Source organism: Homo sapiens, chromosome 7 (assembly GCF_000001405.40).
Source record: "Homo sapiens chromosome 7, GRCh38.p14 Primary Assembly".
Taxonomy (NCBI): Eukaryota; Metazoa; Chordata; class Mammalia; order Primates; family Hominidae; genus Homo; species Homo sapiens.
In genome coordinates this window covers 75,011,652-75,037,438 of record NC_000007.14, presented here as the reverse complement: position 1 = coordinate 75,037,438, position 25,787 = coordinate 75,011,652, and the positions used below count along the sequence as shown (strand labels likewise).

General features: G+C 53.9%; 2 protein-coding genes across 2 annotated transcripts in view; one reads left to right on the top strand and one right to left on the bottom strand.

Moving 5' to 3' along the window:
- RCC1L (RCC1 like) overlaps positions 1 to 10,320 on the top strand; it is a 46,684-nt gene extending 36,364 nt beyond the window's left edge. The window contains exon 11 of the mRNA NM_148842.3: positions 9,360 to 10,320. Coding sequence (NP_683682.1) covers positions 9,360 to 9,407 — 48 coding nt within the window. The 3' untranslated portion in view covers positions 9,408 to 10,320. The remainder of the gene's footprint in view (positions 1 to 9,359) is intronic.
- The window catches only part of CASTOR2 (cytosolic arginine sensor for mTORC1 subunit 2), a 66,824-nt gene continuing 46,947 nt past the window's right edge, over positions 5,911 to 25,787 (bottom strand). Inside the window, exons 3-9 of the mRNA NM_001145064.3 lie at positions 19,648 to 19,841; positions 19,317 to 19,449; positions 18,344 to 18,467; positions 17,290 to 17,400; positions 15,483 to 15,565; positions 12,905 to 12,999; positions 5,911 to 12,805 (exon numbers count right to left, since the gene is read on the bottom strand). Coding sequence (NP_001138536.1) covers positions 12,740 to 12,805; positions 12,905 to 12,999; positions 15,483 to 15,565; positions 17,290 to 17,400; positions 18,344 to 18,467; positions 19,317 to 19,449; positions 19,648 to 19,841 — 806 coding nt within the window. The 3' untranslated portion in view covers positions 5,911 to 12,739. The remainder of the gene's footprint in view (positions 12,806 to 12,904; positions 13,000 to 15,482; positions 15,566 to 17,289; positions 17,401 to 18,343; positions 18,468 to 19,316; positions 19,450 to 19,647; positions 19,842 to 25,787) is intronic.

Here is a 25,787-nt window from a genome sequence, read left to right as displayed (position 1 = left end):
GGCGGACGGATCACCTGAGGTCAGGAGTTCAAGACCAGCTTGGCCAACATGGTGAAACACCGTCTCTACTTTTTAAAAATACAAAAATTAGCTGGGTATGTTGGCACATGCCTGTAATCCCAGCTGCTTGGGAGGCTGAGGCAGGAGAATCGCTTGAACCAGGGAGGCAGAGTTTGCAGTGAGTCGAGATCACACCACGGCACTCCAGCCGGGGTGACAGATTGAGACTCTGTCTCAATAAATAAATAAATACGTAAATAAATAAATGGATAAACCTAGATACTGTTGTCACCTCCAACCAGGAGGCACTTGTTTTTCCGGAGAAACATCTTACTCTTGCTCTGGTAGCAAGTGGCAGCTGAATCCCAGGAGGCCAGAGTGGAGCACATGAAGTCACGCCAGTCGGAAGGATGCCCCGTTTGAGTTCCCTCCTTGGGGCCTCAGACTGGATAGGCTCAGGCTAACGGTGGTAGCTGGTTCCACAACTCCAGCAGTTGATGTGCATTCCAGGAGGAAAATTACATATATATATTTTTGAGACAGAGTCTCACTCTGTCACCAAGGCTGGAATGCAGTGGTGCGATCTCAGCTCACTGCAAGCTCTGCCTTTTGGGTGGTTCAAGTGATTCTCCTGCCTCAGCCTCCCGAATAGCTGGGACTACAGACGTGCACCACCAACTCCAGCTAATTTTTGTCTTAATATTTTTAGTAGAGACGGGGTTTCACCATGTTGGCCAGGCTGGTCTCAAACTCCTGGCTTCATGTAATCCGCCCACCTCGGCCTCCCAAAGTGCTGGGATTACAGGCGTGAGCTACCGCACCTGGCCCCGGGAGAAAAATATTGAAGATGAAGAAGATGATTGATAAACCACGTGCTCCTCAGCACGTACTGTATGCCAGGAGCTGCAGATGGGGTGGTGAGAAGGATGCCTGCTTTCAAGGGTGTGTGTCTTGTGGCTGGTCTGCCACCTGCCCTGCAGAGCAGCCAAGGCAATGATGTTCATAAGAGGGACTTTGGGCAGGGTGTGGTGGCTCACGCCTGTAAATCTCAGCACTTTGGGAGGCTAAGCGGGCAGGTCACCTGAGGTCGGGAGTTCGAGACCAGCCTGACCAACATGGACATGGAGAAACCCCGTCTCTACTAAAAATACAAAATTAGCCGGGCATGGTGGCACATGCCTGTAATCCCAGCTACCCGGGAGGCTGAGGCAGGAGAATTGCTTGAACCCGGGAGGCAGAGGTTGCAGTGAGCCAAGATTACACCATTGCACTCCAGCTTGGGAAACGAGCAAAACTCCATCTCAAAAAAAAAAAAAAAAAAAGAGTGACTTTGGGATTCCTTGGAGCAGATTCTACCCCTCAAACCTGGGGTTCTCATTCTCAACCCTGCTTGTACAACACTATACCATAGAATCATCTGGAAACTTTTAGTTTTTGAGACGGTCTTGCTCTGTTGCCCAGGCTGGAGTACAGTGGTGCGATCATAGCTCCTTGCGGCCTTGAACTCCTGAGCTCAAGCAATCCTCCTGTCTCAGCCTCCTAAGTGGCTGGGATTACAGGCACGCAAGCCATGCCCGGCTAATTTTTAAAATTTTTTGTAGAGATGGGGGGACCTCACTGTGTTGCCCAGGGTGGTATTGAACTCCTGGGCTCAAATGATTCTCTTGCCTCAGCCTTCCAAAGTGTTGGGATTACAGGCATGAGCCACCTCGCCCAGGCTTTTTTTTTTTAATATATAATATAACATTTTGCATATTTATTCATCAGTTGCTGGACATTTGGGTTGGTTTCACTTTTTGACCATTATAAATAATGTCAAAACATTCATGTATAAGTTTCACATTGGCCCAGCGTTTTGTTTCTGGAATGTTTTTGTGTGAACATAAGTTTTCAATTTTCATGGATGTATACCTAGGAGTGGAGTTGCTGCTCATTCATTTAATTTTTTTGAGTTTTGACATTTGCGTCATTTAATCTACAACACACTCTGTAAATTCCAAGATACTGAATATTTATTTCCCTGCATACAACTTGGGCTGTTCCTTGCAGGCTCATGGCAGGCTTTCTGCCTGCTTTTCTTGTGTTTCTGCTGCTAAAGTAGGGACCCAGGCCGGGCGCGGTGGCTCATGCCTGTAATCCCAGTACTTTGGGAGGCCGAGGCGGGCGGATCACTTGAGGTCATGAGTTCGAGACCAGCCTGGCCAATATGGCAAAACCCCATCTCTACTAAAAATATAAAAATTAGCTGGGTGTGGCAGTGTGTGCCTATAGTCCTAGCTACTGGGGAGGCTGAGGCACGAGAATCACTTGAAACTGGGAGTTGGGGGCTGCAGTGAGCTTGGATTGCTCCACTGCACTCCAGCCTGGGTGACAGAGCGAGACTCCATCTCTAAATAAATACATAAATGTAAATAAATAAATTAGGGAACCCTCTTGGTGCCCAGTAGTCATCAGAGCTTATAATGACCAAGTACGTAGAAATGGGCCCCACCCATAGTGGCTGATGCCTGTGATCCCAACACTTTGGGAGGCTGGGGTGGGAGGATCACTTGAGCTCAGGAGTTCAAGGGCAGCCTGGGCAATATAGCAAGACCCCTATCTCTACAAAAAATAAAAAAATTAGCCAAACATGGTGGTGCACGCCTATAGTTAACAGCCACTCTGGAGGCTGAGATTGGAGGAGTGCTTGAGACCAGGAGTTCGAGGCTGCAGTGAGCAAATAAATTTAAAGAAAAAAACAAACAAACCAGGCCCTGGGTCTAGCTGATGCTGCCTGAGTTTCCCACTCAGCTCGGGTAGACATCTGTTGGAAAAACATCCCAAATGTGATGTTCTGCTATCAACCTTTACAAGGCGAAGACCTCCACATTCAGTTGCCAAGAACCGTCAGAGCAATCACCTTTTTTGTTTTGTTTTGTTTTTGGAGATGGAGTCTCGCTCTGTCGCCCAGGCTGGAGTGCAGTGGCGCGATCTCAGCTCACTGCAACCTCCGCCTCCCTGGTTCAAGCGATTCTCCTGCCTCAGCCTCCCAAGTAGCTGAAATTACAGGCACACACCGCCATGCTTGGCTAATTTTTTGTATTTTCGTAGAGACGGGATTTCACTGTGTTGCCCAGACTGGTCTTGAACCTCTGAGCTCAGACAATCCGCCCACCTTGGACTCCTAAAGTGCTAGGACCACAGGTGTAAGCCACCACGCCCAGCTGCAATCACCTTTCTTTCTCGGCTGTCCTCCAATGTGCATCCAGACCTGTTGCTTTTTCTACCGCATTCCTTCTTTAAAACATCAAGATATAAGTCACATAACATAAAACCATTTACAGCACACAGCTCAGTGGTTTTTCGCAAACTGTGTTGTGCAGCTGTCACCATGATTTCATTGCACACATTCCCTTTCGGTGCATATTTTCTTTCCGCTTTCTTCACCATGTGAGCTGATCTGACACTCCCTCCCCTGCCCGAGTCAGCTGAAATTCACATGACAAAACCAGGGTCGGCAAAGTGACCAAAGATGACGCCCTTTCCTTTTGTGGCCTTTGCTTTATTTTTTAATTTAATTTTTTTTAATTTATTGCTTTTTAGAGACAGGGTCTTGTTCTGTTGCTCAGGCTGGAGTGCAGTGGTGTCATCATAGCTCACTGGAGCCTCCAACTCCTGGGCTCAAGTGATCCTCTGGCCTCAGCCTCTGAGTAGTTGGGATTACAGGTATGCACCACCACACCCGGCTAATTTTTTTTTTTTTTTTTGATAGAGACTCGCCCTGTTGCCCAGGCTGGAGTGCAATGGCGTGGTCTCGGCTCACTGCAACCTCTGTCTCCCAGGTTCAAGCGATTCTTCTGCCTTAGCCTCCCGAGTAGCTGGGATTACAGGTGGCTGCCACCATGCCTGGCTAATTTTTATATTTTTAGTAGAGACGGGGATTCACCATTTTGGCCAGGCTGGTCTCGAACCCCTGACCTTGTGACCTGCCTGCCTCGGCCTCCCAAAGTGCTGGGATGACAGGCGTTGAGTCACTGCACCTGGCCCACCCCACTTCTTAATTACCACTACGGGTCCTTCTTTGCCTTTGCATTCTACCTGCTGTTTCTTGTCTAAGTCTAACTCTCCCGTCCCTCCCTGCTTCTCTGTCTTCCCTCTACTATTGGCCGGCAGCTGGTCATTTCCTGGTCCAAGCACAGCACCCCTTTGTGGTCCATCCTAGCACTGCATCCCTTGTAATGCTCCGGGAAGGACCCCTGGTGCAGGGGCTATAGTGGGTCCCCAGCACCAGCATAAGGGGATGATTTTGAGAGTTTTGGGGCAGTCAGGATCGCCCATGGATGTTCCGGCTCCAGTGGAATTATCTTTTTTTTTTTTTTTTTTTTTTTGAGACAAAGTCTCACTCTGTTGCCCAGCCTGGAGTGCAGTGGCACAATCTCGGCTCACTGCAACCTCCACCTCCCGGATTCAAGCCATTCTCCTGCCTCAGCCTCCCAAGTAGCTGGGATTACAGGCACCCGCCACCACGCCCAACTAATTTTTATATTTTTAGTAGAGATAGGGTTACACTATGTTGACCAGGGTGGTCTTGAACTCCTGACCTCAGGTAATCCTCCCGCCTCCACCTCCAAAAGTGCTGGGATTACAGGTGTGAGCCACCGCACCCAGCCCTCCTGTGGTATTATCTGAAGGCCCGAGCGACAGGACTTGTCTTCAGACCCCAGGCATAAAAGCTTCTCAGCAGCTAGAACTCTCTTGGGCTCAGGGTGATGGAAGAATATTCAGCTTCCATTTTCACTCCCGGTCTCCAGGTTCTCTTCCTGTGGGCCAAGGGTGAGGCAGGGTTGGGATGGGGGCTGATGGGGCCTAGGGCAGGGATGGGTCTTCAGCTCTGCCCTGCTCACAGCTACCCCCCCATGGAAAATCTCAGAGAGGAGAAGGGGAAGGGTGTCAGTCTAGAACCTGCCGGTCTCAAGCCCATCTTTTCTTGCTGGCACAGCCCCAGTGTCCCGCCTACCAAGAGGGCAGTAGCCAGAAGCACGGTGCTCCTCTTTCCTGCCTGCAGGATATCTAATCTGGAGGTATCAGCTTCTGGGCTTCTGGAACTTACCTGGAGCTGTGATGTCCATGGCAAGGCTCTAGGTTTGGGTCAGAGACCCTTCGGCCAGGCAACCAGCCCCTGACCCTTCCCTTGCCATCAGAAAGGCCCCGTCCAACTCCTTCCCCCCACCGTCCCCACTCCCAGGCCTGGCTCTGCCCAAGGTCTGGGTGGGGATGCTGGGCATAGTAGCTGGCCTCCAAGATGGCCCCCAGTCATCTTTACCTCCTGGTTTCCACCCACTTATGTAGTTCCCTCCCATGTCAAATCAGAGTTGGGCCGTATCACACCAGAGCATGGTAGAGGCAACGGCGTGTGAATTATGTGGCTAGGAATAAAAATAACACTTTGGTTTCTAACCTGGACCCTTGAATCTCTTGCTCTGGGGGAAGCTGGGCGCCATATTGTGAGGACACTCAAGCAGCCCCGTGGGTTGGCCCACATGGGGAAGGACTGAGGCCTCCTGCCTACAGCCAGGCCTCACTTAGAAGTGCATCCTTCAGTCCTTAGCTGATTTCAGACAACGGCAACCTCATGAGTGACTCTGAGCCAGAATCACTCAGCCAAACTTCCTGAATTCCTGACCCACAGAAAATGTGACCTATAAATAATGATCATGTTAAGCCGCTAAGTTTGGGGGCAACTTGTTATACAGCACCAGGTAACTAATACAACCCCTCCGGCTCTGGGGGCCCTTCCTCAAATTCTGGGTGTTTTTCTACCCGCCTCTAGCCCCTGGCCTGTGTTCCCCCGACCACAGTGTGGAGGAGAAAGAGATGAGACCAGGTTCTGGCTAGATCAGCAAAAAACCAGACGGCCACCAGCCAGCATCGTTTTTTTTTTTCATTTTAATTAACACTTTACAAAGTACAAAATATACTGTCTTTTTTGGGGGAACATTAGGTAATTTTTTTTCTCCAACATACAGTACATGAATCTCGAGGGTTTTGTGTTTCTTCAACAAGAAAATAAGCTTGAGGGCCCCGGGGGGGTAGGGATAAGATGGCAGGTTCTCCCCTTCACCCAGATCTTGGGAGCGATGGAACGCCGCTGCTGCTGCTGGTGACCCGGGCACGCCAGGTGAGGGTTGGAGGGGGTTGTGGGCAGGAAGTCCCCTGCCCCCACTACGATGGTGGGGGCTCTGGGCAGGGCAGAGGCCCCTCAGTACACCATCCATCCACTCACCCCCATCTCAGGATAACGGAAATGATTTTGGCATAGAGAAAGAGGAGGGCTTGGGACTGTTATCAGCTCCCTACTCTTTTAGAGGGAACTCTGCTCAACTCTTCCTAGACTGTCTTCTGAATACAGGTAAACTGAGGCAGTGGAAGGGAAACCGCACTGGCCTTGGCCTGTCTTGGGACCTGAACTTGGCCTGCTGTTCACCCTGCCACCTCCAAAGTTTGGGTGAGGGGCAGGGGTCTCCAATTCTTCTGGACCTTCTTCCAGAATGAGCCCCAGTAGATGAGGGAGTGCCGGCCCCCACAAACTCTCCCTGTGAACACCATCTGCAGGATGGGATGCCTTTGAAGAGTCAGCACGGGCAGCCCCAGCCCCTTCCAATCAGAGCTGGGCTGTATCAAACCAGAGCATGGTGGAGGCAACGGCGTGTGAATTCTGAGGCTAGGGATAAAAATAACACGTTGGCTTTTACCCTGGGCCCTTGAATCTCTTGCTCTGGGGGGAAGCCGAGCGCCATATTGTGAAGACACTCAAGCAGCCCTGTGGGTTGGCCCACCTGGGGAAGGACTGAGGCCTCCTGCCTACAGCCAGGCCTCACTTAGAAGTGCATCCTCCAATCCTTAGCTAAGATTTCAGACAACAGCAACCTCATGAATGACCCTGAGCCAGAACTGCTCAAACTGTTCCTGACACCTTTGCCCCCCTCCAGAGTAGTTCTGACAAGTGGGGTGAGGCCGTCCTACCAGAGACGCCCCACCCTCTCCCCTGGAGCCAGGGTCTGCATTCGAGTCCTGCCCTCACTCACCTAATCATTTCTGCACTCAAGGCCTGACAACAAGACTGCTACTGAGAACTCAAAATACTCCAAGAGCCAGTCCCATATCTCAGGTGTGGGCTCTGCACACGTGCACGCACACACTCTAATGCATAGGAACACATCCACGCTCACAGGTACATGCACAAACGTGTGCATAAACACACCTAGGCCTGCACCCCCACTCCTAGCACACAGGCCACCCTGCACTTCCAATTTCCATAGCTCCTCTTCCCTTATAGTGACAGCCACAAGCTCTCTCGGCCACCAGGCTGTCCCTGGATGCCATGGCTCAGGCCTCAGGCTCCTGCCTCTGCTCCAGGCTGCTCCTGGCTGGCTTCCTTCCCTGGGGCCTCTTTCGTTATTTTCTTGTAGAGGCAGGGTCTTGCTATGTTGACCAGGTTGGTCTTGCTATCTTGGCCTCAAGCTATCCTCCCACCTTGGTCTCCCAAAGTGCTGGGATGACAGGCCTAAGCCACCGAGCCCGGCCTCCTTTGAATGGGCCCCCACCAGGCCTAACCCCCTCCCTCAGCATGGTACCCAAAGCCAATGTCTTTTCTCTGTTGGAGAAGCCCCCCGGCCTCACTCAGGCTCTGCCTATTACACTAACCAATGTCTCCAATGCTCCAGGCCCTGCTCGGAGCGGACTAGAAGGTTGGGGGTGCTTCTTCCCATCCCCATGCAAAGCGCTTCACTCAGGAAGTGGCGTCAAAAATCCCATTGGCCAGGCGGGGTATCTCATGCCTGTAATCCCAGCACTTTGGGAGGCCAAGGTGGGCGGATCACCTGAGGTCAGGAGTTCAAGAACAGCCTGGCCAACATAGTGAAACCCTGTCTCTACTAAAAATACAAAAATTAGCCGAGCGTGGTGGTGGGTGCCTGTAATCCCAGCTACTTGGGAGGCTGAGGCAGGAGAATCACTTGAACCTGGGAAGCAGAGGTTGCAGCGAACCGAGATCGCACCACTGCACTCCAGCCTGTCTCAAAAAAAAAAAAAAAAAAAGATCCCCCCATTGCAGGGCTGAGGTGCTCTTGCCCTAAAGCCCCCTCTCTTAGCTGGGGCTGGGAAAAGCCCTGGTTGTCACCACATCCAGATCTCTAGGCTCAGAAAGGGGCCCAGGGTGGCCTTAGGACTCCCCAGGGTATCCCTGGAAAATGTGGCCAGGAGGAGGGGGCCAGTGGGAGGTGGCCTGTGTTCACCTTTGAAGATCACCAAATAGTGCCCTGGGCTTTAACAGGGGCCTGGCCCTTCCTGTCTTCCCAGTCTTCTCTCCTGACCTCCAGGGCATCCTCTGTCACCTCAGAGGGGCAAGCCCCTCCAGACCAAGCCTCCTCCTGCTGAACAAATGTCACCCTGGCTACGCTGCTGCTTCCGGAGGCCACACTGGAAGCCTCTGATCCCCCAGCTCCTTCCTTTCCCACCAGCAGCCTGGTGCCTGGAGGTGAGAGGAGGTGAGAATGCCAGTGGTTTGGAGTGAGGCTTTGGGTCCCCGCCTCTGAATCTTGGGGAGGGGAAGCTACCAGGGTCAGGCCTGCAAGCCTCTCCAGCTCAGATGCATGCCTCGGGCTGAGGACAGTGGTGTGGGCAGTGCCCCTTGAAGGAGGGCGGTCCTGGAGATGCCCATGGAGGAAGGAGGTGCAGAGTCAGCAATGCCCAGATCTTTGCTGGGTTAGGACGACGGGCTGAGGGAGGAAGGGGTGTCTTGGGAACCAGGGGAGCCCCACGACGAGGCAGAACTTATCAGTGGCAGGGAGGGGTGGTCACTGCTCTGTTCCTCCCCATCCTTCAGCTCCCACTGGTACTCTGAGTGCAGCAAGGGGAGAGGGTGGGGTTGAGACTATCTGAGCTTTTCTTAATGGAGAACCACACAGGGGCCAAGACACACACTCCAGGAGCTCAAGTGGCAGCCCCAGGGTCACCTGCTCACCCCTAGAAATTCCATGAGGCCGGGCACGGTGGCTCATGCCTGTAATCCCAGCACTTCGGGAGGCCAAGGTGGGTGGATCACTTGAGGTCAGGAGTTCAAGACCAGCGTGGCCAACATGGTGAAACCCCGTCTCTACCAAAAATACAAAAATTAGCCGCGTGTGGTGGTGAGTGCCTGTAATCTCACCTACTTGGGAGGCCAATGTAGGAGACTCGCTTGAACCCAGGAAGTGGAGGTTGCTGCAGTGAGCTGAGATCATGCCACAGCACTCCAGCCTGGGCGACAGAGCAAGACTCCGTCTCAAAAAAAAAAAAAAAAAAATTCCACATCATAGAGAGCCCTCTTCCTCCCCCGCCAGGCACCTGCCCCATCCGCCAGCGCCAAGACAACAGGCCCACTCCTCTGATTACCTCCGGGGGATGGACGGCAAACAGGTAAGGAGTTCCATGCAACTGCGGATGGAGCCCCTCTGAGAAACACATGCCCCTCCAAGTGGGGTCTGGGGCCTGGAGAGACCCTCCCACCCAGCAGACCAGGAGATAGCTGGGGGACAAGGGCAGACGGCCCCTGCCTGGGAAAAACCACACTCACACCCCACCCCGAAGAGCTGTGGAGACCAAACCAAGACTACGCTACACACAGAACGCCGAGAAGATAAACCAAGCTTTACACGAGCAGGATGGGGATGGGAAAACTAAAGGGGCCCCCTGTGACCGAGGAGCAGGGTCCCCAGGGGGCAGCTCCCACGGAGCGGGCTTGAACAGGGACCACCCCTGCAGAGCCAGCCAGGGCGGAGAGCCATACCCTGGCCCCAGCGCGCCCCGACACACATGCTTTTCTCCATGACACGAGGCCAGTCCCCAGGAGCAGCCCCAGGAGCACAACCTGAGATTTCTAAGCTTGCAGGTTACAAAAAACAAAAAAAACAGAGAAGCTGCCTGCGTAAAAAGTGCCACCCACGGAGGCAGGACACAGGCAGCGTGTGGCCCATTCAGCAGGCCCAGGTCTTCAGGGTGAGGCTGCTGGCGAGGGCAGGGGAGAGGGGGCATTCTGGTTAAAAGCAAGAAATTCCAAATACTCCTCCCTCGGGATCAACATCCCCCCAAATAAGGGCGCCCAGGGATCTTGCCTGGGGAAAGTGGGGTGCAGAAGGCATGACCCACGCCACAGCGGGCTCTCAGCACCCTTCCCACGTCCCATGTCACAGGCTCTTTGAGCTGCTGGCTTTGTTCTCTCAAGTCAGGTCTGAGGGAACCCATCGGCTTCTGTAATAATCGTATTGCCTATATACTTGAATTAAAAATATATGGTGGCTCAAATGTGCCCGCGTGTATGGCAGACGGTGCGGGGTGGAGGCCATCACGCCCATACACGTGTGCACACACAGCGGGGGGCTGTGTCCACGGACTGCGCACACAGTATATATTAACATATATATTGCTCAAGTATATATGCTATTTACAGTATATATCTCTATCAACATAAAACACAGGTATTTATAGGTGTGTACAATAGATACGTCCTAGGAAGTCTAGGGGACACACGACTCTGGGGTCACGGGGCCGACACACTTGCACGGCGGGAAGGAAAGGCAGAGAAGTGACACCGTCAGGGGGAAATGACAGAAAGGAAAATCAAGGCCTTGCAAGGTCAGAAAGGGGACTCAGGGCTTCCACCACAGCCCTGCCCCACTTGGCCACCTCCCTTTTGGGACCAGCAATGTACGAGTTTTGTTCTGGAGTTTTGTGCAAAACAAATTAACTTAAAAAAAAAAAAGTTGGTTTCTAATTAATGTGGTGGGCCTTCAACACCCACAAGGATTTTAAAGAACAGCTTCTCCTTCTGGTGGGCTTCCAGGGCTCAGAGGGTCCCACTCAGAGAAGCAGGGAACACTTTGTCAGGACTAGAAAATATCCCTTCTCCTCTGACCACAGAAACAGCACAACTCGGCTGGGTGTGGTGGCTCACGCCTGTAATCCCGGCATTTTGGGAGGCCGAGGCAGGCGGATCACTTAACTCAGGAGTTCAAGACCAGCCTGAGCAATGTTACGAAATCCCGTCTCTATTAAAAAATACAATAACTAGCCAGACGTGGTGGTGCGTGCCTGTAATCCCAGCTACTTGGGAGGCCGAGGCAGGAGAATCACTTGAACCTGGGAGGAGGAGGGTGTAGTGAGCCAAGATCGTGCCACTGCATTCCAGCCTAGGCAACAGAGCCAGACTCCCATCTCAAAAAAAAAAAAAAAAACCCCCGCCAGAGCCAAAACCACAGGGGCCCTTGGTCCTGCTCATTCAGAAAACCACCCCACTGGAAGGGACACCACGGCTAACCCCATGCCTCCTGGACATGACCACTCAGCTGGCCTGCCACCTGGCTGTCCACCTCCCCATGGCCCTCGGGTTCCCTCACCCCCTCCGGTGCTCAGATAGAACTACAGCTGGTTGGTGGGAGTTCCCATGTGGGGTGCCAGCGGCTCCAGCGTCTTGTAACAGATCTCTGCTCCTAGCTTCCCTTCAGAAGAGAGGGCCCAGGCTCCTGTGACATCTCCCGATTCCCACTGCCTGTCCCTGGAGCCACAGAGCACCAGCTTAGTGACACAGAGCCTCCAGGCTCCCTTGACAGAACTCAAACAGGTCCTATCCCTGCCAAACAGAAACTACCGCCAAGAGCACCCTGGGTGCAAATACATTAAATAAAAAACTAAAACAAAGTATGGTTTTCTCTATTAAGGCTCAGTTAAGCTGCCTCCTGGGTCAAGTACTCATGAATGCCACAGCCCCCAGCCAAGGGGCGGGTGGGCAGGCAGGTGACTTGGGGGCAGAGGAGGGAGGAGGACGGCGGGGAGTCCTATGCTGGTCTAGTTGTCTGTTGGGGAGGTGGGACACCACCTAAGAAACCTCAGGCCTGGAAAGCCAGGGATGTCCCTACTGGGGGAAGCTGAGGCTCTACCTGCCCAAGTCGGGTCCAGGGAGAGCCGAGGGGACAGGAGCTGGTGCTCCAGGCTGGTGGGTCTCCTGGGACCCTCCCTCCTCCCCCAAGGACTGAGTGCTTGTGGGGGAGGGTCTGGACAGGGCCCTCTTGGCAGTCTTGCTGGGAGTCGGGCCCAGGCCCTGTGGTTGGCAGGCGAGGTACAGGGGGAGTCTGGGTCCTTCCCAGCTCGGGGATCCCACCTGGGTTCCTGTCTGAGCCTCACCAGCCCCGATGACCTGAGGGGGCCACGCTGGCCTCCACTCCGAGGGAACCAGCCCTGAGCTGATGGAAGCAGAGACCAGTGACCACAGTACTCACCCCCAAACCCTCCAGGGCACCCCAAACTCGGCCCCACCCCGCCAGCCCCAGCCCTGCAAGGTGACATGACAGCTGGCACACCGGTGTCTCGCAGGAGGGACCGGCTTCCCTCGGCATCTGCCCCTGGCCGTGGGTGAGGCCGGATGAGAAGGCGGATCAGCTCACAAGCTCCCTGGGCCTCCGAAAGCATTTTCCGGGGTGGGGGAGGTAGGGAAGAGAAAGGTCGTTCTCTGGAGGGTCGGGGGGCTCCGGGAAGGCAGGAGGGCATGGAGAGGCCTTGGCGTGGGCCCCTGCCCTGGAGGGATTGGCAATCGAGGGAGTCTCCCACAGAGGCCCCTTCCTCAGGGTCCCCAGGCTGATTTTCCAGTCTGTAGAGAAATACTGCAAGATCAATCTTCAGGGTTAGGGCTGGGCCCGGGCGGCGGCAGGGAGGAGCAGAAGAGACCCTTCTAGTGCTTCTCTGCTTGGCTGACCTTCAGGGCACTGATGACACCATTGATGTTCTCTTCGGGGACCTGTGCAGGGGTAGAGGAGGCAGATGCCTGCCCGTGAGCCCAGGAACCTGCTTCCCCACCCCGGCCCTGCCCTGGAGGGGTCTGGCGCTGGACACTCACAAGTGCATGATCAAACTTGAAAGTACTGATGTAGTAGGCTGGGATGTCTGCAGCAGCCAAGGGCTCTGAGATCTGGGCCACGATGCCACACTCATCTAGAACAGGAGAGACCGTCCTTAGCCTCTGTGTAACCTGGCTACCCTTGCCTGTGTGGCTCTTCAGCCTCTACCCTCTGTGGGCAATGCCTACCCTGCACCCACCATCCTCCTAGAGAATTCCCATCTGCTATCCCTTTTATTTTTTTTGAGATGGAGTCTCGCTCCATCGCCCAGGCTGGAGTGCACTGGCGTGAGCTCACTTCACTACAACCTCCACCTCCTGAGTTCAAGCAATCCTCGTGCCTCAGCCTCCCAAATAGCTGGGATTATAGGCGTGTACCACCATGCCCAGCTAATTTTTTTGTATTTTTAGTAGAGATGGGGTTTCACCATGTTGGCCAGGCTGGTATCGAACTGCTGTACTCAAATGATCCACCCACCTCCACATCCCAAAGTGCTGGAATTACAGGCGTGAGCCACCGTGCCTGGCCTCCCACTGGCCATCCCTCTTGAAGGCTTAACCCAGATGTCCCCCAACCAGGAGCCTTCTCTGGTCGCTGGCCAGTGAAATAGTTTGGCTTTGTGTTCCTGCCCAAATCCTCCAATTGTAATCTCAAGTATTGGAGGTGGGGCCTGGTGCAAGATGACTGGATTATGAGGGTGGATTCCTCATGAATGGTTTAGCCTCATCCTCTTGGTACTGTTCTCGTGACAGTAAGTCCTCACGAGATCTGGCTATTTAAAAGTGTGGCACCTTGGCTGGGAGTGGTGGCTCACGCCTGTAATCCCAGCACTTTGGGAGGCCGAGGCGGGTGGATCACTTGAGGTCAGGAGTTCGAGACCAGCCTGGCCAACATGGTGAAACCCCATCTCTACTAAAACTACAAGAATTAGCCGGGCGTGGTGGCACGTGCCTATAGTCCCAGCTACTTGGGAGGCTGAACCCAGGAGGCGAAGACTGCGCCATTGCACTTCAGCCTGGGCAACAGAGCAAGATCCGGTCTCAAAAAAAAAAAAAACAAAAAACAAAAAGAAAAAAAAAATGCTATCCACCAAAGACGTTGTCTGGACAACTGTGGAAACAGAGGAAAGACTAAGTCTTAGGGAATGACTGAAAATTTTCTCCTGTGGAATCCTGTCATTGTGGTTATATAGGAGAAAGTGTTTCTTCTTTTTTTTTTCTTTTTTTGAGGTGGACTCTCGCTCTGTCGCCCAGGCTGGAGTGCAGTGGCGCCATCTCGGCTTGCTGCAAGCTCCGCCTCCCAGGTTCATGCCATTCTCCTGCCTCAGCCTCCCAAGTAGCTGGGACTACAGGCGCCTGCCACCACGACCGGCTAATTTTTTGTATTTTTAGTAGAGACAGGGTTTTGCTGTGTTAGCCAGGATGATCTCGATCTCCTGACCTTGTGATCCTCCTGCCTCGGCCTCCCAAAGTGCTGGGATTACAGGCGTAAGCCACCTTGCCCGGTGCTTCTTCCCAGGATGGAAAAGGCGAGGCATTTAGGAGTAAAGTGTTGGGTGTCAGACTCTCTGGGAGATATGTGACAATTACATGTATTTACGTGAAGAAAACATGTTAAAAAATTGCCAGCAGTTATTATCTTTGAGCTGTGGAAATAAGGAGTGATTTTTTTTCTCTTTAATTTTTATCACAGCCCCAATTTATTCTTTTTTAAATTAAATTTATTATTATTTTTTGAGACAGAGTCTTGCTCTGTTGCCCAGGCAGGAGTGCAATGGAGCGATCTTGGCTCATCGCAACCTCTGCTTCCTGGGTTCAAGCGATTCTCCCATCTCAGCCTCCTGAGTAGCTGGGATTACAGGCGCACGCCACTGTGCCTGGCCAATTTTTTGTATTGTTAGTAGACATGGGGTTTCGTCATATTGGCCAGGCTGGTACTCCTGACCTCAGGTGATCCACCTGCATCGGCCTCCCAAAGACCTGGGATTACAGGCACGAGCTAACTCGCCCAGCCTCTTTTTTTATTTTTAGAGGCAAAGATTTGCTCTGTCACCCAGGTTGGAGTACAATGGCATGATCATGGCTCACTGTAGCCTTGAACTCTTAGGCTCAAGTAATCCTCCTGCCTCAGCCTCCTGAGTAGCTGGGATTACAGGCGCCAGCCACCATGCCCAGCTAATTTTAAAAATTTTGGTAGAGACAGGGCCTCGCTATGTTTCCCAGGCTGGTACAGAACTCCTGGGCTCAATGGATCTTTCCACCTCGGCCTCCCAAAGTGCTGGGATTACAAGCACGAGCCACCGCGCCCAGCTGCTTAATTTTCTAATAATAAGCAACATATTAAATTTCAAGAGGGGGCAAAATAAAAGCACTCCGATTGAAGCCTGCTCCGCACTTCCCCAAGAGGCCTGTGTACAGCTGCCACACACCAGTGAGCAACAGAAATTTCAGGCTCCCCAAGCCTCAGTCTCCCCATCTGTACCCCCCAGCAGGGGCCGAGTCACTGCGGACAACGTATGTGAATGGGCTCAGCAATGCCAGCTCCCTCAATTCCCCATGTAATCCCCCCAGGACTCACCAAACCCCAGGGGCTGTCCTCCAATCCGGACCATCTTCCAGAGCTCTCCGGATGCGCTTGTGAACAGCAAGTTACTAGGAAACCTTCAAAAGGAGCGAGAGAAGAATCCCCGAGGCTGATGTGAATTGCACTCCCTCCTTGGTGTGCTGGTGCACCAGCCAGAGCGAGGCATGGGGCTGGCCAGGCAGGGTTGGGCAGACCTCAGGGCCCCCCAAAAACAATCCCTTCCAGACACCCTGGACCCATTCGCCCGGCGGCCTCCTCGTCTTGAGGGGAGGCGGATGGGGAGGGTGATGTCAGGCTGGGCTTTGTAACAAGCCCCTCCCCAAACCCTTGCTAAGGCTGGTCTAGACACCTCTTCCCAGGTCCAGAGCACAAGCTGAGGGAGAAATAGCACCGGGGCTGCGGTTCAAATCCCCACTTTGCCACCACCCCACAGTGGACCTCGGACAACCCCTGCACCTCTCTGAGCTGGGGGACCAGCTTACTTATGATGAAGTGCTATGGTGAGGGTTTATTAGAGACAAAGTGGCAGGGCGTGGTGGCTCACACCCGTAATCCCAGCACTTTGGGAGGCCGAGACTGGCAGATCACATGCAGTCAGGAGTTGGAGACCAGCCTGGTCAGCATGGCGAAGCCCCATCTCTACGAAAAATACAAAAATTGGCCAGGTGCGGTGGCTCACGCCGGTAATCCCAGCACTTTGGGAGGCCAAAGTGGGTGAATCACTTGAGGTCAGGAGTTCACGAGCAGCCTGGCCAACATGGCAAAACCCTGTCTCTACAAAAAATACAAAAATAAACAGGGTATGGTGGTGTGCGCCTGTAGTTCCAGCTACTCGGGAGGCTGAGGCAGGAGAATCACTTGAACCTGGGAGGTGGAGGTTGCAGTGAGCTGAGATCGCGCCACTGCACTCCAGCCTGGGCAACAGAGTGAGACCCTGTCTCAAAAAGTAAATAAATATTAAAAAAAAATAAAATAAAAATACAAAAATTAGCCAGGTGTGGTGGCAGGCACCTGTAGTCCCAACTATTCAGGAGGCTGAGACATGTGGATCACTTGAACCTGGGAGGCAGAGGTGGCAGTGAGCCAAGACTGCACCACTGCACTCCAGCATGGGTGACAGAGAGAGATCCTGTCTCAACAAAAATAAAAATAAAAAAAATCAGGCTGGTTGCGGTGGCTCATGCCAGTAATCCCAGCACTTTGGGAGGCCGGGGCGGGCAGATCACAAGGTCAGGAGATCCAGACCATCTTGGCTAACATGGTGAAACCTGGTCTCTACTAAAAATACAAAAAATTAGCCAGGCGTGGTGGCGGCGCCTGTAGTCCCAGCTACTTGGGAGGCTGAGGCAGGAGAATGGCATGAACCCGGGAGGTGGAGCTTGCAGTGAGCCGAGATAGTGCCACTGCACTCCAGCCTGGGCGACAGAGCGAGACTCCGTCTAAAAAAAAAAAAAAAAAAATCACGCCTGAGGCGGGCGGATTGCCTGAGGTCAGGAGCTTGAGACCAGCCTCACCAACATGGCAAAACCCTGTCTTTACTAAAAATACAAAAATTAGCTGGGCATGGTGGCACATGCCTGTAGTCCCAGCTGAGGCAGGAGAATTGCTTGAACCTGAGAGGTGGAGGTTGCCTTGAGCCGAGATCGCACCACTGCACCCCAGCCTGGGCGACAGAGCGAGACCCCGTATCAAAAAAAAACAACAACAAATAAAAGACAAAGTGGGTGATGTGCCATCACATAGTCCCCCCAGACCCTGGGGCCCACCCTGGGTTGAACGTCCACCCCAGGGCCTGGCTCACCTCTGCTGCGTCTGCACGTCCATCACCAGGGAGATGTAGCCCTCGATGAGGGAGAAGGAGAAGAAGCGGATGTGGCCGCAGTCATCCCCAGTGGCCATGGGGTCCTTCACTCTGGGGACCAGAGGCAGCTGGTAAAGATGGGGCCCCTGTGGCCCCTGCCCCATTCACACCAGCCCAGGGAAGCTGGGCCCTGCCCAGGCTTTGATGCCACCTGGGTGACCCTGGGCCAGTGTCCTTCTCATCCTGCTCGCTATGCCACGGGGATGATTTCACCGCATTCACAAAGGCGGGTGCTACACTTTGCAGTACTGGAGGCCCGGCCGGCCTCCCACGCAGGTTACACCGGCCCCTGCCTGCATCTCAGGGCACAGGCTGTGGTGACTGTCAGCATGCTGGACCCTGCCCCGCCCCACCTCGTGTTGGCCTAAACTTTACAAAATCTGCTGAGGAAGTGACACAATGTCTGTTGTTCACCAAATGAAAAAAATCTGAGTTCTCAGCTCCTCAACAGACTGGGCCTGTCCTCGGAGCTCAGTGGGGAGTGGGGAGTTTGTTACAGCTCCCAATGAGTCTTTGGGGCGTCACCAAATTTTGGGGTTCCCAGGGTAGGATGTCTCACCCCTGAGACTGGGGCTTTTAGGTAGAGCTGTGTCTCCCCCTCAGCCTAGTTCCAGGGCGGGTCCATGTCTCCCACCCCAAACTAGTTCCGGGGTGGGTCTGTGTCTCCTACCTCAGACTAGCTCCAGGACAGGTCTGTGTCTCCCCACTCAGACTAGCTCTGGGGAGGGTCCATGTGTCCCCCATCAGACTAGCTCTGGGGCGGGTCTGTGTCTCCTACCTCAGACTAGCTCCGGGGCAGGTCCATGTCTCCCACCTCAGACTAGTTCCAGGGTGGGTCCATGTCTCTCTGCTCAGACTAGCTCCAGGGAAGGTCTGTGTCTCTTCCCTCAGATGAGCTCCTAGCAAAGCCTCCCCCGTCAGACTAAGACTCCTAGGCGGAGCCATGCCTCTCCCTGGCCCACCCTGCAACCCCTCATGCCCAAGGCAGCCCTACCCATTGGAGTAGAACATGACATCCATGAGGAGTGTGGCAACAGCAGGCAGCGTGTCAGGGTCCAGGCTGGTGACACAGAACCTGTTGCTCGGGCTGGACAGTGGGTGGATGACTGGCCTCTGGACTGTAAGAGCACAAAGATGTCAGGCACTGAGGCTGGGACTGAAAGCAGCAGCTCTGGTGGGTGCAGGGCCTGGGAAGAGGGCTGGGGAGGGCTCAGCTGCAGGCCCCAAGAGACTCATTCACCGCTGCTTCTCCAGCCTCTACCACCAATTACCACCGTCCTGATTCTCCATCTCACCCTCAGGCCCCTGGGCCTTTGCACATGCTGTGCTGGCTGCCTGGGATGCCCTTCCCAACCGGCACCACCTGGCTCCGTTCCTACCTGTGTTCCAGGCTTCAGCACCACAGTCCCTGCCCAGGGAAATCCACCCTGACACCTGGGCTGCAGCAGGAGTGGCCTCTGGCCATTGCTGTCTGCATGCACGTCCACCACCCTTGCTAGACACGGCAGCAAGGCCTGCCTAGGACCTTTCCATCACATTTTTTTTTTTTTGAGATGGAGTTTTGTTCTTGTTGCCCAGACTGGAGTGCAATGGCACAATCTCGGCTCACCACAACCTCCGCCTCCTGGGTTCAAGTGATTCTCCTGCCTCGGCCTCCTCAGTAGCTGGAATTACAAGTATGCACCACCACACCCAGCTAATTTTGTATTTTTAGTAGAGACGGGGTTTCTCCATGTTGGTCAGGCTGGTCTCAAACTCCTGACCTCAGGTGAATTGCCTGCCTCGGCCTCCCAAAGTGCTGGGATTACAAGCATGAGCCACCACACTGGGCCCTTTGCATCCCGTTCTGCCTGGCACTCCATTCATGCTCAGTGGGCAGAAGCCCGTGCTGAGAGTAAGGCTGGTCTGCGGCTGGGCCTGGTAACTTCGTGAGGTTTCCCCTGCACAAACCCCCGCCCCCAGCTCACCCAGCTTGGGCTTCACGAAGCCATTGGTGATGCCGAGGTTCTCGGCTGCCACGGTCTCGCCATTGACGACCCGCAGGATGGTGAACTCTGATGACAATGTGTGGGTGACAAAGGGCAGGTCCCGCTCGCGCACCTAGGGGCAAGAAGTTGAGGCCGTGTGTGCCTGGTGGCCCTGGGGGATGTGGGTCTGGGGCACCGACCTCTCACCCTGAGACTCTGCCCCCACCCTGGAATAGCGTGGAAGGGCAAGGCTGCAAGGGGTGGGAGATGGGAGTGAGTGTGTCAGAGGCGGGCATGAGTGTGCAAGGCGTGTCTGTGATGGTCAGCTCACCAGGATGAAGTCTGTCTGATACGTGGACAGCATGAACACGGATATGTTCTGGTCAGCCAGTGGGGCGATGACTGACTTGGCGATCTTGGTCACGCCGATGGGCTGGGAGCTGGAGAAGCTGCCACCGCCGGACACCACGTTCAGGGCCAGCCAGGTGGCATCTGCCACACTCAGGTGCTCCGAGGAGGGCAGCTCTGGAGGGAGACACAGAAGGCAGTCCTGTGACTGCTGAGGTTCCAGATGACCCAAGGGCAGGGCAAGGCAGGCCAGAGGTGGAGAGTGATGCTCTGGGGCCAGCTCCACCCTGTGCCTTGCCTCACTTTCCAACAGGATTTTTTTTTTTTGAGACAGTCTTGCTCTGTCGCCCGGCTGGAGTGCCTGGAGTAGCGCGATCTCGGCTCACTGCAACCTCTGACTTCCTGGTTCAAGTGATTCTCCTGCATCAGCCTCCCGAGTAGCTGGGATTACAGGCACATGCCACCACGCCCAGCTAATTTTTGTATTTTTAGTAGAGACAGGGTTTCACCATGTTGGCCAGGATGGTCTCAATCTCTTGACCTCGTGATCCGCCCGCATCAGCCTCCCCAAGTGCTGGGATTACAGGCGTGAGCCACCGCACCCAGCCGGATGGGATTGTTTTTTGAGAGAGTCTTGCTCTGTCACCCAGGCTGGAGTGCAGTGGCGCGATCTCGGCTCATTGCAACCTCCACCTCCTGGGTTCAAGTGATTCTTGAGTAGCGGAGATTATAGGTATGCACCATCACACCCAGCTAATTTTTGTATTTTTAGTAGAGATGGCATTTTCCCATGTTGGTCTGGCTGGTCTCGAACTCCTGATCTCAAGGGATCCTCCTGCCTTGGCCTCCCAAAGCGCTAGGATTACAGGCGTGAGCCACTGCGCCCAGCCTTCAACAGGATGGGATTTGAATCAAAGGCTGCTTCCTGGGAGGACTGGGCAGGGAAGGCCCTCAGATGACACAGGACATCCCCGGCAGCTTAGCAGAGTAGGAGCCATGTGGGCAAGTGGTTGATCTGCACCGAGCCTCAGTTTGCTCAGCCGTAAAACGATGGCATCAGTAGTGGGTAATGTCCTTTAGTTCTTACAACCCTTTTGTGGGTCTGATGCTGCCATCACACCCATTGTCCCATGTGTAACTGGCTTTCAAACTGGGTTCCTGGATACCTCTCAGGGAGGCTCTGGGTGGAGGGGAGGCCAGGAAAAGGCTGGGTGGGGCTTTGGGGTTTCTCTTCCCCCTTCAGCCAGCCCTGCACATTGGGCTTCTCTGGAAGAAGAGGCAACTCCAGGAGGGCCCCTGAAGAGGCTGCATCATGGGGGGCAGTGACTGTCACCCATGTCCCTCCTGAGAGCCTGGAAGTCCCAGGGGCTGGCATTGGCTTTGGCAGGGTGGGGAGTCCACAGCAGCAGCAACTGCTAAGCCTCCTTACCTAGCTCATGAAAACCCAGAATCCAAACGCTGGAGCCATCCCTTCCACCCTGTCCTGCAGACAGAGACCCTGAGTAGCCCTGAATGTGGGACACAGGCACACACTATGTGTGACCACACACAGCTGCAGACTCGAGCCCAGGCTGCATTCGGGGCTCTTCATACAACACCAGGCACCTGCATAAACCCACCTAGTGCCAGGCCCTGAGTGGGGAGGGGGCACGGCACAGGGAGGTGAACTCTGACACTGCATCCCACAAGGAGGCAGGATTTTTTTTTTTGAGATGGAGCCTCACTCTGTCACCCAGGCTGGAGTACATTGGCATGATCTTGGCTCACTGCAACCTCTGCCTCCTGGTTCAAGCAATTCTCCTGCCTCGGCCTCCCGAGTAGCTGGGATTAGAGGCACCCAACATCATGCCCGGCTAATTTTTATATTTTTAGTAAAGATGGGGTTTCACCATGTTGGCCCGGCTGGTCTCAAACTCCTGGCCTCAAGTGATCCACCCGCCTTGGCCTCTCAAAGGGCTGGGATTACAATCGTGAGCCACCGCGCCTGGCCGAGGCAGGGTTATTTTGCTCACCGTACACTCAACGGTCCAGAAACCCTGGACCTGGAAGGCTCAGTGATTTGCCGAAGATCACTTAGGAAGTAACAGAGCCAGGATTCCAGTGCGGGTCTGGCTCAAGAACCCAGGCTCTATCTTGGGCACTAAATGAAAAGTACCAAGTCCCTAAGAAAATAGGGGGCTAAAAAGAGAGGTGCTGAGGCTGGAGGCGGTGGCTCATGCCCGTACTCCCACTGCTTTGGGAGGCCAAGGTAGGAGGATCGCTTGAGGCCAGGAATTTGAGACCAGCCTGGAGAACGTAGCGAGACCCCATCTCTAAAAAAATAAAAATAAAAAATAAATGAGCCAAGCATGGTGGCACATGCCTGTGGTCCCAGCCACTTGGGAGGTTGAGGTGGGAGGATCGCTTGAGTCTGAGATTTCAAGGCTGCAGTGAGCTATGACCGCACCACTGCACTCCAGCCTAGGTGACACAGCCAGACCCTGTCTCAAAAAATAAATCGATAAAAAGGGAGAGAGGGGCTCAAAGATGGGTGAGCCAAGGCAGCTGTGATGATGAAGATTCCTGGGGAAAGACGAGCTGGGCTCTGCTGGCAGGCAAGATGGCCTGAGAGGAGGGAAATTGAGTGAGGCCCATGCCTGTTCCTACCTGCCCAGCTCCGGTCACCATGGTGACCACAGCCCAAGGAGCCCATTGGTCCCGCTGGCTGAGAAGGACCAGTGGTCAGCCAGTGGGTGGCTAGAGAGGCAGGCGGCTGCACAGAAATGGGAAAGGGCGGCCCCAGTCTTGAGCAGTGGGAGGCCTGTCTCTTATCAAAGCCGCAGGCTTCGGGCTCCGAGGGGCCAATCCTGGCTCTGTCCTCCCCAGCGGAAGCGGCTGCTGATATAGCCTCCGAGGTGGTGAAGTGTACACCTTGAGGGGGTGCTGACATAACCAAGACTCTGCCACTAGGAGTCTCTTGGCAGGTTTGGATGAGACCCAGAGTGGTCTTGGGGAGAAGCCCAGGCCTGAGACCAGCTGGAAACGTGGGTGTGGGGGAAGAGGCGGCTGCTGCTGGCTGGAGGATTTCAGGTCAATCAGCAGCTGGCCAGGAGCAGGCAGCCTGTCTGATGGATTGGTCTACCCGCCCTGCTCACGGCCTCAGCCTGGGAAAGAACCCAGAGCTGTTGCTTCCTTTTTTTTTGAGCGAGAGTGTCTTACTCTGTCGCCCAGGCTGGAGTGCAGCGGCGCGATCTCGGCTCACTGCAACCTCTGCCTCCCGGGTTCAAGCGATTCTCATGTCTCAGCCTCCTGAGTAGCTGGGACTACAGGTGCATACTACCATGCCTGGCTCTACTTTTTTTTTTTTTTTTTTTTTGTATTTTTAGTAGAGAAGGGGTTTCACCATGTTGGGCAGGCTGGTCTCGAACTCCTTACCTCAAGTGATCTGCCCGCCTCGGCCTCCCAAAGTGCTGGGATTACAGGTGTCAGCCACCTTGCCCGGCCACCTCTCCACCTTTTGATCGGTCACTGCCTCCTGACCATGCCTTGCCATGCGTGGCATGGACCACAATGATGTACCGCTGTCCCCAGTTCACAGACAAGGGGACTGTGATGGGTGAGGGCTAGTGATGTGGAGCCTAGATAAGCACTGGGCCCCTCTAACTGCAAGTCTAAGCTTCTACCCATTACCCAGAGGCTTCTAACGTTATTCTGAATCTGTCAGGACACCTAGCACTGCACACAGTGCTCACGAAATACTTAAAAGAGGCCGGGTACGGTGGCTCATGCCTGTAATCCCAGTGCTTTGGGAGGCCAAGGCAGGCAGATCACTTGAGGTCAGGAGTTCAAGACCAGCCTGACCAACATGGGGGAAACCTTGTCTGTACTAAAAATATAAAAAGTAGCCGGGTGTGGTGGTGCGTGCCTGTAATCCCAGCAACTCAGGAGGCTGAGGCATGAGAATCGCTTGAACCCGGGAGGTGGAGGTTGCAGTGAGCAGAGATTGTGTCACTGGACTCCAACCGGGGTGACAGAGCGAGACTCAGTCACACACACACGTAAAAAATCGGAATATACACATATACAACCCCTCTGTCTGCCACACAGACATACTGCATCCATTTGAGCCAAGACCTTCTTTTTTTCTTTTTTTGAGACAGGGTGTTGCTCTATCACCCAGGCTGGAGTGCAGTGGTACAATCATGGCTCACTGCAGCCTCAACCTCCCAGGCTCAAGTGATCCTCCCACCGCAGCCCACCGAGTAGCTGGGACCACAGCCATGTGCCACCACAACAGATTAATTTTTGTATTGTTTGTAGAGACGGGGCTTTGCCATGTTGCCCAACCTGCTTGAACTCCTGGGCTCAAGCGATCTACCTGCCTCAGCCTCCCAAAGGGCTGGGATTACAGGCATGAGCCACTGTGCTCAGACCAAGAATCTCTTAAGAACGTTCACATTGAACAAGGAACTCTGCTGGCTCATGTCATTTACAAGCCATCCCCTGCCCTCCCAGGAAAGACCCAGCATCCACTGAACCATGGCCAGCTGCTAGCTTCTAACTATCAAAGCTGCCAGTGAACACACACCCTGGCTCATGTTAAGAGTGGCAGAAGAGGCCCTTTGGTGGGAAGCAATGTTTGCAGCGCTGGAGGTTTGCAGAACGGGGTGACAGGGCACCGGCCTTCATTCCCCATGCCAGAGCCAGCATCCTTCTTCCTGGGGTCATGCCTGTAATCCCAACACTTTGGGAGGCCAAGGTGGGAGGACTGCTTAAGGCCAGGAGTTCCAGACCAGCATAGGCAACATAGTGAGAATCCTCTACAAAAAAACACAAAAACTAGCCAGTGGGCTGTGCACGGTGGTTCACGCCTATAATCCCAGCACTTTGGAAATTTGGAAGGCTGAGGCGGGTGGATCACTTGAGGTCAGGAGTTCGAGACCAGCCTGGCCAACATGGTGAAACCCTGTCTCTACTAAAAATACAAAAATTAGCTGGGCATAGCGGTGCATGCCTGTAGTCTCAACTACTCAGGAGGCTGAGGCAGGAGAATCGCTTGAACCCAGGAGGTGGAGGTTGCAGTGAGCTGAGATCATGCCACTACACTCCAGTCTGGACAACAGAGCGAGACTCCATCTCAAAACAAAACAAAAAAACAAAAAACAAAAAATCCCAAAAACTAGCCAGTGGGCTAGGTGCAGTAGTTCATGCCTGTAATCCCAGCACTTTGGGAGGTCAAGGCAAGAGGATCATCTGAGGTCAGGAGTTCAAGACCAGCCTTGCCAACATGGTGAAACCCTGTCTCTACTAAAAATACAAAAAAAAATTAGCCGGGTGTGGTGGTGCATGCCTGTAATCCCAGCTACTCAGGAGGCTGAGGCAGGAGAATCGCTTGAACCTGGGAGGTGGAGGATGCAGTGAGCTGAGATCGCGCCACTGCACTCCAGTCTGGGGACAGAGCGAGACTACCTCGAGAAAAGCAAGCAAACAAAAACTAAACTCTCTTTCTGAAGCAGAGCGTCCAAGGAGATGAGGGGTACAGTTGTCCTCCTAGCCTCATACTGCAGCCCCTAGGCCCACCCCAAATCCTGCCACAGCCCCCTGAGAGTCTTCTCAGACTGTCCTAGGCCACACATGGTGGTATACCATCTTCTCACATTACTTTCCGGCAGCACTTTCTCCTTATTTAGGCTAGAGGCGCCTTGAGAGCATTTCCTACTTTCCGTCCTGGCTTGGTTGTCACTCACTAACTCTGGGCAAGTTAATGTCTGCTTGCTTTCTCGCTTGTAAAATGGGTCTTTACTCTTGTTTTTTTTTTTTCTTTCTTTTAAGACGGAGTCTCACTCTGTCCCCCAGGCTGGAGTGCAATGGCGCGATCTCGGCTCACTGCAACCTCCACCTCCCGGGTTCAAGCGATTCTCCTGCCTTGGCCTCCCGAGTAGCTGGGATTACAGGCATGCGCCACCACGCCCAGCTAATTTTGTATTTTTAGTAGAGACGGGGTTCCTCCATGTTGGTCAGGCTGGTCTCGAACTCCTTTTTTTTTTGGTTTTTTTTTTTTTTTTTTTGAGACAGCTCTGTTGCCCAGGCTGGAGTGCAGTGGCGTGATCTCGGCTCACTGCAAGCCCGCCTCCCGGGTTCACG